Raw genomic sequence first — 12,748 nt, 5'->3', positions numbered from 1 at the left:
GCTCAGCCGGTGTCAGGAGACTCGGGTTCTAGCCTTGTGAACTTGGACCACGACCTTGGCCTCTCTGGGACTCGGTCTCCCCAAATGGAAGGGGAGAGGGTCAGCCGTGATGGCCTCTAAGCCACCTCCCCTCTGGCACCCTGTCTTCCCATGTCATCTCCAACCCGTGGCCTTTAAACCACCAGCCAGGATCAAATTGCCAAAGTCGCCTCCGCCATCCTGCCCAGCTGGGAATGATTTTTAAACAAAGCCCACGTTCCTGGTGAGCCTATTGATTTCTGGGTTCCCAAGCCCACCACCACACTGCAGTGTCCTTGCCAAGCCAACAGTGAGGCGTAAACAGACAGCAAAACTCCGGCAAGCGAATAAATAAACAAATCACCACTGCAACCCCACCACGTTCCTCTTCGCCCCGGTGTCTTTTCAAGAACAAGTGTCTTGGTGACAATGTCCAGACATCAGCGGCCCTGCCGGGGAAGAGGGTAGGGCTGGGGCGCTGGCGAGGACAATTGGAATAAAACGGAGGTCAGACCCCCAAGAAGGACCGGCCAACTTCAATCCCATAATGGAAGTCTTGTGGGGGCCGGATTTTGCCTTCGAAGGCTCCCAGTGGACTCTTGTGAAGACAGCAAGCACTGTGCAGGGATAAAGTGGCTTTTAGAACTATTAGAAAGTGGGTGTGCTGGGAATGGGGGGGAAAGGGGGGCCAGGATGGGAACATTAAAATTCTGCTCCTGCCCAGGGTTTCTGGGCTCCAGCTCGCCATGCGAGCATCGATCTGTTCCAGCATTTGACTTTCAACCATGACAAAACTGTGGGCAAATTAATTGTTCTCCAGGATATTAAACATCAGACTCCATTAATCCTTTCTGAGCGAGATGCTTGCTGAATACTAATCGGAAGGGTTCCAGGCTGCCAGGGGGCATTTATCCTGCCACAGAGGCCCCAGTGGGTCCCACCCCTTCTCTCTCCCTTGGGCAGGGGTGCCGAGGGCTGAGCACCCTTCTCCACACCATGTGTTACCTTTATTTCCCTTTGTGGCCGGGGACAGAGGGGGAACAGGTGGACGCGACCTGAAACCTTCCCCACCCCCACCTGGGCGTCTTCTTCCCAGGAAGCCGTGGGACTGGTAGCAAGATTGTTTTATGCAAATTCCAATATCTGTATGCAGCCACGGCCGTGAGGATGAACACAAGAAATAATTGCCAAATTATGCACGTTGAGTTGGTTTTCCTGAGTCTCGAGCCCTTAAAAGATAAAGAAGAAACACAGCGACGAGAGTGTCTAAAACAGACAAACAACCTCTTGGCTCTGGTCGCCCAAGGTGGGTGGGCCACCGCGTTGGCTGAGGACAGAACAGAACGGAATCTTTGTGGGTTTTGAGGGGGATGGAGTGGTAGGCCCTGCATGGGAGTCAGGGGGTCTGAGCTCCAGGCTGCCACCAAATTGCAAGGTGTCTTTGAGCAAGTCACTTCCCTTCTTGCAGCCTCAGTTTCCCATTTGCAGAAGGGGAAGATAGCCAAAGCCTGACAATGCTGTCATTTGAAATGTGGATGGGGCGTAGCGGGGGGATCCCACTGGGCTCGAGGCAGGGCTGACCAAATGGGCACAGCAGGGGTCTGTGGGGACAGGGAAGATCTCTGGGGCTTCAGCTTGCTCTGCAAATCGCGCTTGTCTCTTTTTCTATGGCAACAACTCTTTTATCCATAGGGTTTTGGTGCAATCAACTCATGTCAGGGAGGCTGGTTGAGAACATGATCCCATTTCACAGAGTGCAGCTCACAGCAGCAGAGGGTCAAGCCAAAGCTATGTCCTGTAGGAGGCAGAACAAGGATTAGACTGCCTATCTGTACTGTCATCCTGGGACAATTCTATCCTCTTCGCACCCCAAGCTACCTCTCCTGGTTAGGTGCTTCCTTCCCATATGGGGAGCTCAGTACTGCCCAGAAAAGAATGCGGTTCTTGCTTCCCATAATCCCAAAGTATCCCCTACACCAGCCCTCACCTGGGCTCTCATCCCAATTTAGCGAAATCCAGGTCTGTCACAGGACCCCTAAATTACCACTCCCACCGCGACCCCCATCATCCCATACATTATAAAGCACTTTGCACTAAGCTCCTTCCATGCCTCATCCCACTGACTGCTCACAACCACTTTTTAAGGGGAGGGTCCTATTATGATTCTTGCTTTCTGAGGCTCAGAGAAGCCAAGCCACTTGTCCAAGATCACACAGTAAGTCAGTGACTGTGCTGGGATTCAAACTTGCATCTGTCTGACTTCAAAGCCCACTGGCTATACTATGTATGTATCTCATCTTTAATTCTTCTTTCCTCCTGGTCTGGAGGGTGGCAGAGGCTTTCCTCACCCTTCGCACTCCTTCCTGTTTCCACCACTTCCCATTTCTCTCAATCTATGTTTTTGGACTGCTGTGGGCAGAGAGAAAACAGTGCCAGCAACTCACTAACTGTGAGGATATTTATGCCTCTGCAAACACCACACAAGCCTTTTGCATGATTTGGGGCTAAATGCAGTGTTACTTAATTAATGCACATGTAACACTCGAGAATATTACACCTATTAGAACTCATGGACAATTAACACTCAACGGGCTGCTGCCACAACCACGTCACATAGACAAAGGCTCCAGAAGCGCCTCGGTGCTGAATCAATTGCCCAGGGAAAATGCCTCCTCCCTCCTGCACTTTGTCTACTTTTGCCACCTTGACCTCAGTGTCTTCCTCTTCCCCTTTCATCTTTAACTTTTCTGTATTTAGCCTTTTAGCTTGGACAATTTGGCATCATGACGTATTAAAATGATGACATATAAAACCTCGTATTATACTTTATATTACATATAATACATTTCTGCTTTGGGAGTGTTTTGTGCAAACAAGTCTCTAGGCTCTGTGCTGCCAGGGCTTCTGGGTCATCAAATATTTTGAATTTCCTGCTTTCCCAAAGAGACTGATTTTCTTTCTCATTTTAATATTTATAATAGGAAAAGAAGAGTCACCTTCTCCAGGAAGCATCCCGTGATTTCTTCAGCACTTTCTCATACTTCTCATACTTCTCTCTACTGATACCCTCCAGTGCTTAAGACATCATAGACTCTATGTGGCCTGGATCCCCGTTGTCTCCCCGCCTGATGGGGGCGTATCCCAGAGGGCCCCAATTCTCACAGCTGTGAAATGAAACCCAGAAAACCTTTCCATCCACTCTCTGGGGCTGCAGGGAGAGCGGAGTAAGATTTGGTGCTATGCAAACCCACAGCTGAGTTTGATGCAGCATCTTCTCGGTACATTCACCTTTCCAATCTGTCAAATGGGTGTGCTGATCCCATCCTTGAAAGCTTGGCTGAGTGTTAAAGGAACCATCATCACATGTAAGGAGCCTAGCCTACTGCCAAGCACTGTGGTAAGCGACGCAGAGCCTGAATTACATAAATCAGGAGTCCCCACCCCCATTCCAAAAATAGTTGTTGAGTGCCTACTGTGTGCAAGGGCTGCAATGCAGATTAAGATACACATGACCCCCTGCTTCAGGAGGCGTCCAGTCTAGTGGGAGTGATAGGCAGTAAACCCACAAACAAGTAAGTAAATGGATAATCCTGGCACATGCTATATGTTCGGAAGGAAATATCTGAATGACAAGATGGTAATGGATAAGATTTTTCCTGGGGTGGTCAAGGAGGGCTTCCTGGAGGAGGTGTCTTTTGGGCAGAGGCTAAAGAAAGAGAAAGAGTTGACAGGTGACAAGGAGGATAAATAGCTTCAAGTGGTTGGTGCTCTGCCCATATCCTCCTGTCACTCACCACTCGCCTGCAAGGTGGGGAGATGTCTGCAGGCGCCTGCTTGGCCCCAGTGTAGAAGGAAGAGGAGTGTAGGGAATAAATGCCCCTTCCTGGGGGAAGCAGCCCTCCACCAATGACAGATGGGAGCTGGAGTATAAATACCCTGGTTTCCTTGCTCCTTGGGCGGATGACTCTGAGGTGAGTGTTCTTGCAAAAGGTCCTCAGCACAACTGAGCCCCAGTCACCCACAGCAAAAACTGGCTGCTTAATGGCAGCCAGACTTGACCACCTCCCCTCTTTGCCTCAAGTCCCCATCCCCTGTTGATACATCCTGGGATCCCCCTCCCAGATAAACTAGCCCTGCAGTGCTTATCTCGAAGTCTGCTGGTGACACCTCCCAAGCAGACACCTCAGGGGTCAGTGAGTGGCAGATCGCCCTGGGCTCCCAGGTTGAGGTTCCTCTAGAATCCTCCCAAGAGGCCTCACTCAGTCTCCACCCCAAGGCCCCGCCTGCCCAGGCCTGGGGGATTAGCAGAGTCCCCAGGGCTGGCCTTCAGATCCATCCCCAGACACTATTTCCAAAAAGGATTAAATAAATACGTCCAGCGGGAGGGGGAGCTCCGGCTTTCACTGCCCGCTGGCGGGAAATTAAATAATGTTCGTTTCTGCTGCTGTGAGCCGGAACAAGGCTGGCCGAGCTGCAGGGCTGGGCCAGGAGGCGGCCGCGATTGGCAGCTTGTGGTAAGCCCTAAATCAAAGGAGCCGATGAGATTTCTAATAGCAGGAGCGCGACTGGCATCGGCGTATAAATAAAGCTCCCCTCTTGAAAGACAGCTTATTCTAGCCTTGCCGCCAAGGATATTAAGCCTGGAGGACTGGTGGCTGTGGCCAGGCTGGACCCCCGCCAGAAGCCAGCTGGGCTGGGGAGGCTCGAGTCCTTCCCCAGCTGCTGCCCTGGCTGCCCCTGAAACAGTCCCCAGGGTTCAGCTCCTGGCCATGCCCAGCCCCTAGCTGGGTGGATGTGTGTGGTGTGTGTTTGCAGGGCAGATTTTATCATTCCCATTGCCCAGATGAGCACACCAAGATTCTGGGGGTAGGTGTTCTGCCAGAGGTCACACAGAACGTCAGCGGTCCCTTTCTAGGTGAAGGGCAGGGAAGGGGAGATTCAGAGTCATGTCTGATTCCACATCTCACAGTGGTCAAATGGGCGCAAACTGTCCCATGGAGGATCTGGAGCCACTTCTCAGGCTGGCCAGCCCCTGCCTCTCTGTTCTGCATCCCAGGCTGCTCCTTGCAGAAATGAGCCAGCCCCGGCACTTACTCCCAGGTACCTGCTGTCCCAGGCGGGCAGAAGGAAACATGTCTTCAAACAACCCTCATGATCCCCTCCTGTGGGCTCCAGTCTAGTCTGGTGGCTGGGCCCATAAGCTCTGGAACCAGACTGCCTGGGATTGGATTTTGTCTCCACTGCCCTGGCTGTGTGGCCTTTTACAAGTTGCCTAACTTCTCTGGGCCTCAGCTTCCTCATCTGTGAAGTGGGGATAATAACAGCACCTGCCTTCTGGTGTTGATGTGGGAATTAAATAAGATGATTCATGTAGAGGACTCAGCTCAGACGTACACCAATAAGTGTCCTATAAGTTCGTGCTTTCATTTATCACCATTCATTCATTCATTCATTCACTCATTCACTGCTGTGACTGCAGGGCCTCACGCATGACTGGTGTTCTATAAGTATTTAATATCTTATAATAATAATAGTTACTATACATTTATATAATAAAAATAAATAGTTTATTATTATTATTCATTAGAGACAGGACCTGACTCTGTCACCCCAACTGGAGTGCAGTAGTACAATCGTAGCTCACTGAAGCCTCAACCTCCTGGGCTCAAGTGATCCTCCCACCTCAGCCTCCGTAGTAGCCAGGACTACAGGCATGTGCCACCACACCTGGCTAATTTGTTTTTATTTTTTATTTTTATTTATGTAGAGACGGGGTTTCACTATGTTGCCCAGGCTGGTCTTGAACTCTTGGCCTTGAGGGATCCTCCTGTCTCAGCCTCCCAAAGTGGATTTCCTGTGATTAGACATGCAATCGTAGTGCTGGGTGCTGCGGGCTTCAGCAGGGGCAAAGGGGACCATGGCAGGTTCGGGCCTGTCACGGAGCCTAGGGTCCAAAAATCCCCAGGAAGATATTGAATGAGGCTTCCTAGAGGTAATAGGTGTCATAAAAAGGATGTGCAGGGCTACACGAGTGAAATCCTATCTGCTGGGGTCAGAGAGGCCTTTTCCAGGAGGGGTCATCTCCCAAGGGGCCTTTGGGTCAGAGGAAGAGTGTTCCAGGCAGGGGGTGTGCATGGGCAAAGGCCATGAAACAGGGAGGAGCAGTGGTGCCCTGTCCCGTGAGTCCCTCTGTGAGTCAGGCTCTAGGGCAGGTCAGGAAACTAGCAGGACGCAGGAGGGCTCAGTGTCCTGTGTGCGCATTTTGCAGATGGGCAAACTGAGCCTGAGATAACCCAACAGGCAAAGCCAGAATGGATCGGGGTTTGTTGCCTTCTGCTCCAGCACTCTTCTCCAGGGAGGACAAGCTCACGACAGCTAGGAGAGGTTCAAGCCATGAGCTGACGGGTGTGCAAGTCTCAGCTCAGCGAATTTCTCTGAAGCCCCAGGAATGAGGCACAGGAGCCCCGTTTAACAGAGGGGGAAGCTGATACTTGGTAAGTTCTATCACTGCAGTCAGCAAAGGAGTTTGGATTCAAACCCACAGTCAAATGCTGGAACCTGGCCTCATACCCCTGGGCTGTCTGTCCTACCTGGGGAGGAGGGATTGCAGAGCTGAGCCAGACCCTCAGGCAGTGGTTTCTTTTCTGTCCTTCCTGGGCCATGAACACCTCTCCAGCCCTGGCCGCAGCCGCTGAGGACAGACACTAGGGTCTTTCTCCCTCCCTCTTTCTTCCTCCTTCCATTGTCTCCAGATTCTGGTTCCATTTCAGAATCTGACTTCACAGGGTCTGACCCTTTTGTGCAAATTCCAAAGCCCTTTTCTTTGTGATTATAATTTTTTTTTTTTTTTTTTTTTTGGAATCCAACATCTCTTGACAGGAAAATCGGTGCTTGAGGTTGGAGAAGTTTGCTGCATTCTCCATGTGAAAGCCATTACGGGCCTGTCCGGGACGGAGCCCACGCATGTGTGCACACACACGGTCTGACTGCCTTCCTTGCGCCCTGGAAAAGTGCGTCCAGCTGTCAGCCTGGAGCCCGCCCGGCCGGATGTAATGCAAACCAGGCAGCCGGGAAGAAGTGCGTGCTTTAATCAGGGCTCACAGCTGCTCGGCCCCAGCCCCGCTTCCATCAGGTGTCTGTTCTCACTCTGGGTGGGGGGCTCCTCTGTGGCTGCAAATACAGCCGGGGTTGGGGCCTGGTGGTCCCGGGTGGGGGCTTCCTAGCTGGTTTAGGACCCTCTAGGTGGCATGTGCTTTGGAGCTAAAGGTAGGGGATCTGGCAAAGGCGATGCTGGTGGAGGCAGGGAGGCAGAGGGCAGCCCCCAAATTAGGTGAGTGTGTGAAGGGCATGAGTAGGCCTGCAAGAAAGGTGCAGAAGAGAGGGGAAGGGCTTTAGGAGCAAAAGGGAGGACAAGGAGACAATTGAGGTAAGGGAGAGAGAATGATGGAGATGGTGTGGGAGGGAAAAGGAGGTAGAGAAATGAAGAAAGAGAGAGTGAGCCCCTGAGAAAGAGACAGAGAGAGAGTCTTAGGAGTAGGGGCAAGGAGAGGAAGGATTAAGGAGAGAATTTTTTTAAATGGAGAGAGACAAACAGAGAAGAGCAAGTAAGGGCCAGAAAAAAAAGAAAACCGAAAAAGATCCTGAGATGATTTTCCGGAATCCTAACAGGAGGAGGTCGGAATCCCCGGCCTGGCCTCAGACAGGCCTGAGTTTGATTCACTTCCTGGCCCCAGGTGACCTTGGGCAAGTTCTGTCTCCCTCACCTCCTACCCCGGCCTCAGTCTCCCTGTCTGTTAAATGAGCTCGCCGGGGACTTGATGGTCTCTGAGGCTTCTCCAGGGATGCCAAGGAGGGTGAAAAATTTGAGAAGAGTGGGAAGGGGCGGCCCTGCAGGAACGCACTGGGCTTGCGAAATAAATCCCGTTATCTTGTCTCGGAGTCGGCATCTTTCACAACCCATGAAATGGAAGGATTTCTCAGCCCCACAGGAACACATTGCAAGGGATTTTGAGAGAAATTTGATTTCTCTGTTTGCTTTGGTCTTGGCCCTGATGTCTAGTGGCTACAGACTAGCTGCTTCCAAGGCCAACATGATTGTGTGCATGTGTGCATGCATGTGTGTGTGTGTCTGCACCTGTACGTGCATTGCTCGCCTGTGTGTCTACACCCCACTGTAAGTGATACACTCATCCCAAGACTCCACAGCATCCAGAGTCCCCCTGGTATCCGGGGAGACTGCACTTTGGCCCCTGTCTGGGGAGCCCCTCTTGAAACCTTCAAGGCCATGGGTGGGTGACTGGTGGATACCCATGGCTTGCTGTGACCAGCCAGGCCTCTGCATCTCCCACAGGAACAAGCAAAGGCTGACCCAGCCTTTAGAACTTGAGAATCCAGTCTAGGAAGGTCCTGACTGTGAGGAGGGCGGTGAGTTGGTGGAAAAGGAAGTCCAGGGTGGGGAACCAAGTCTCCACCTGAGCTCTGAGCTCCTTTTCCGCATGTGTGAAACAGGCATAGCAATGACTGGGTCTTCTGTTACCGCACTGTCCGGCCTGTGTTTCTGTGTCCTACAGAAGGACTGTGGCTGTGAGCTCTGAAAGGGTGGGGGCCACACCTGTCCCACATACCTTCGAATCCAGGCACCAGCACATAGTAGGTGCCAAAAACATTAGTGCCTTCCAGCCCTGCCACTCCCCACCCTCTCCACTTTAGGATCTAGGAACATCCATGTCTACGCTGAAGTGGAGGCAGTGGGCTGGGGTTTATCCCAGCTCCTCTACGGTCTCTCTGCAAGATGTTGGGTGTGGCAGTGCAACACTCAGGGCCTCAGTTGCTCCATCTGTAAAATAGGTCCAGGCGTGTCGCTGTTACCCACCTCTCTGGGTTGTAGAGAGGATAAACAAACCCCTTGCCTGCCCAGGGCTCTGGGAAAGGAAGAGCTCCATCTGAGGTCAGGTGGGGCTCGTTCTCGCCACTTGGAGGAGCACTGGATCAGGAGTTCTGTTCCCACACTAGTCACTGAGAGTCGTGGGATGCGGGACAAACCTGTTTTCCCATTTGTGACTCATAGTCTCTCCCAGCTCCCAGGGGTGCCCTGGGCTCCCAACTCTTGTCCCACCACCCCAGTTTGCTTGAATGGTCTTATCTCCTCCCTCTGCTCTGCAACCTCGCCTCTGCCTCTCCCCCACCCCACTCATCTGTTGGCAGAGGTCATGGGTGGGGGAGGGGCTCTCCTGCCTGCCTGGCTGAGCTTTATCTGTAATCTAATGCTGGCCCCTGGGACAGAGGTCAGGGCCACTGCTGGAATGAAACAGGAGGAGAGTGATCAAATGGGTCTTGGGAGGAGGAGAGAGCGAGGTAGGGGAAGGGAAGATGGTGGTGGGAACCTCTGAGACCGCTCAGCCCTGGGGGTGTACCTCCAACTCCAGGCCTGCCAGCACTAAAGTTACGTGGCCTTGGGCATGCCATTCGGCCTCTTGAAGCCTCAGCATTCCCCTGTGCACAGTGGGGTCAGGGATGACCCCGTGAGATCTTGTGTTGCCTGCATGGCTGTGTGGGTCCTCAGCTCTAACATTCCACCAGGAACTTGGGACTGCTAAGAACACTGAGGCCCAGAGAGCTGAAGTCCCAGCCAGGGAGAGGACAAGTGGGGATTTAAAACCAGTCCAGTGTGTCCAATGGCTGTGTGTCCCCCACAGCAGACTGGTGGAGGTCAAAGCTCAAAATCTCACTCCAAGCTTTCTGACAGTTGCAGGAAGAAGGTGAATTATGTCCCACAGATAAGAAGTTCTTACCTGGGCTGCTGCATTTCGTCCTTGGGACAGCTTGCAATTTCCTGAAGAGGGTGACACCTGCAGTTGTTTATGAAGGAGTTTTTTTTATAGAAGTTACCAAGATGGGCTAAATGAGGTGGCTCACATCAGTAATTCCAGTGCTTTGGGAGGCCGAGGTGGGAGGATCACTTGAGGCCAGCAGTTCAAGACCAGCCTGGACAATATAGTGAGACCCCTATCTCTACAAAAATTTTTAAAATTAGTCAGATGTGGTGGTGCATGCCTGTAGTACCAGCTATTCAGGAAGATGAGGTGGGAGGATCAATTGAGCCCTGGTGTTTGAGGGCACAGTGAGCTATGATGGCATCACTGCACTCCTGTTTGGGTGACAGAGTGAGACCCTGTCTCTTAAAAACAACAACAAAAACAACAACAACAAAAGAAAAAGAAAAAAGAAAGAAATTGCCAAGATAGAAGAAGCAGGGAAGAGCATCTTTGGTAGTGGGAACAGTGTATGCAAAGGCACAGAGTCATGAAACAGGATGATGTTTGCAGAAAAGAGTGTGGTAGTTCCATGTGCTGGAGTGAAGGACCCCCAAAGGAGTAAAATATGAGTAGACATTTGGGGAGGTGAGCCAGGATGGAGTGCATTTCTGGCTGGTGGTGGATGGTCTTAAGTAGATACACATTTAGAAAATTCTTCCTGGGGGCTGAATTGGTAAGAAGTTGGCAGGGACAATACTAGATGGGGGAGACTAGTTCACAGGTGGTGGCTGTGGCAGTAATCCAGGCACAGGAGCCTGACTGATGGTCAGGTAAGAGGAGTCCAAATTCAGAGATGCTTAGGGGTGAAATTTATGGCACAGCTTCTGGTGCCCAGTGGGAAGAGTGATGGTGTCTCAGTGGGCAGCTTGGAGGCAAAGAAAGTGAGTTTAACTGGGCATATATCAAGGCTCAGGAGCTGGCAAGTGTATCAGTTACCTATGACCACAATAATGCTGCATAACAAACAGCCACTGACACTCAGTGGATTCAACCTTGGACATATATTTAGCTCATGTATTCATGAGGTTCAGCGTCTCTGCCAGGCTTGCTGGGCTGGGCAGCTCTGGGCTGGGCTTGGCTGATCTTGGCTGGGTTTACAAGTCCTGGTTGGCAGCTGGCTGATCTAGACTGGCTTCATCTGGCATGGCTGGGATGACTGGGCTCAGCCTCACATGTCTCATCCTCCAGCAGACTAGCTCGAGTATGTCCTCATGGCCTTGGCAGAGGTACAAAAGTGAGAGTGAGCCCAATCACACAGTGCTTTTGATACTTCCACTTGCCTCACGTTTGCTAACATCCCGTTGACAAAGCAAGTCACTTGGCTGATCCTAGAGTCAGAGAGGAAGGGCACTGGGTGCCCTTCCTTGCCAACGGTCAAGGTTGGGGATACAGAGAAGGGAAAGAATAGAGGCCCATGAGGGGTTGACAAACCAGCAAGTGGAGAAATGTGTAACGCTCATGGATTTGAGGTGGTTGACAATGGACGGTCTCTGGAGCAATGGGAGGGAAGGCCACTGACCACCAGGCCAGAGGCTGAGAACGATGTTGGATACCTGGGGGACCCTCTCCATTTCTCTTTACCTCCCAACCCTCCTCTGCCTTCTTGTGGGAGAGAAGACCTCAGAGCTCAGGGTGTCAGTGGAGGCCCCCTCTGGCGTGAACATAGTACATACTCAAAAAAATACAAGTTGCAAGAACACAGCTAGTCAGGTTGGCAGGTTAACCCTTTATGGGTCAGCAGGCAAATCCCGGCACCAGTGTGCGCTGTGCATGGTTGTAGGAGCTGGCATGAGCCACAGGGCCTCTCCCTCCAGGGAAAGCTCTGTGGAATTCAATCAGGGACATGTTGTTGTTGCAGGCCCTGCTTTGAACAAAACTGGTGACACATTTTCATTCCAGAATGGCATTTGACCTGAATGAGCTCCCTTGTTATCTCCAAGGTTCCAGAGCCTTCTGGTCTATCTCATTCCATCCTCCCGACAGCCCCCTCTGCGCGCCCCCCGCCCCCAACCAGGGGATACAGAGCTGGTCCCTCATTTTGCAAATGAAGAGCTTGGAAGTGCAGCAATGCCTGAGGTGAGGTCACCAGCCAGTGAAAGGGCAGAGTTCGAAGTCCAGTCCAAGATTCTCAGACTTCAGCTCTTCCCCATGCAGCCCCCAGCCCCACTCTGGGTGGGTTTCATTCTTTTTTGTGCAGCACAAGATCTGTGGTTCGGCGGGGGAGTGTTTAGTCAGGCGGCTTGCTGGTATGACGACCCCCCACGGAGCCACCCAGCCCTCCTCCTCAGCCAAGACCGATTCCCTTGGAAGGTATTTTTTTTTTTAAAGGCAAGAAACAGCAGGAAAATCTCTCTCCCGCTGCTTCTTGTATTTCCTTTATAGTTTCCTTTGTTCTATATTTAATTTTTTGTTTTAAACCCAGTTGAAGAGAGATGGGCGAATCACCGATGGCTATTGATTTATTATTTATGGCAAATCATACGTTGCTTTAATTGTGTCTTTCGTCCTCTTCCTATTCAACATAGTTGAAGGACAACCCAAGGAAATCGTCCGAGGCGTCAAGAGACTCTTGGCAACGTTTCTGTTTATTTCTACACTGCAACCTGTTAGAACCAAACTAGAATCACTTCTTGGGGTAGGATGGCTCTGTCTTTTCTATCTTTTCTGAGACCTGACCCTGGGTCTCAGCTGAGGAAGTGGAATGAACAGATGTGACCTCTCCTTGGTGATGTGGCGTGGCTCCTGGGGGACGCCAAAGGGTTCCCAAGGCCGCTTTTTGGCCCCGTTGCTAAATAGCCCCAATCTCTGTGTTTTCTGGTGACACCAGCTTCTTCCCCTTTCATTTCCTAGCCATGCCAAAGCTTGCTTTGAGGAGCAACTCTCTGCCTCATCTCTGGCATCACGCACTGCGAAAT

The 12,748-nt window shown here is 51.6% G+C and overlaps 1 long non-coding RNA gene across 1 annotated transcript, besides 2 other annotated features; it reads right to left on the bottom strand.

Moving 5' to 3' along the window:
• Window positions 1-1,125: 1,125 nt before the first annotated feature.
• Window positions 1,126-6,768, bottom strand: LOC105372980 (uncharacterized). The gene is made up of 3 exons (XR_938123.4): window positions 6,609-6,768; window positions 3,015-3,182; window positions 1,126-1,813 (listed from the first exon to the last, which is right to left on the bottom strand). It is a non-coding gene; the product is annotated as an uncharacterized LOC105372980 (long non-coding RNA).
• Window positions 4,563-5,226: an enhancer, noted in NCBI's record as "H3K4me1 hESC enhancer chr22:27833795-27834458 (GRCh37/hg19 assembly coordinates)". NCBI's record gives its function as "activates a minimal SCP1, AML or CMV promoter by ChIP-STARR-seq in primed H9 embryonic stem cells {active_cell/tissue: H9 hESC(primed)}" and the evidence as "EXISTENCE:reporter gene assay evidence [ECO:0000049][PMID:30033119]".
• Window positions 9,421-10,023: an enhancer, noted in NCBI's record as "H3K27ac-H3K4me1 hESC enhancer chr22:27828998-27829600 (GRCh37/hg19 assembly coordinates)". NCBI's record gives its function as "activates a minimal SCP1, AML or CMV promoter by ChIP-STARR-seq in naive H9 embryonic stem cells {active_cell/tissue: H9 hESC(naive)}" and the evidence as "EXISTENCE:reporter gene assay evidence [ECO:0000049][PMID:30033119]".

Source organism: Homo sapiens, chromosome 22 (assembly GCF_000001405.40).
Source record: "Homo sapiens chromosome 22, GRCh38.p14 Primary Assembly".
NCBI lineage: Eukaryota > Metazoa > Chordata > Mammalia > Primates > Hominidae > Homo > Homo sapiens.
Note: the sequence above shows the minus strand (reverse complement) of the source record. Positions and strands in the feature narration are given on the sequence as shown.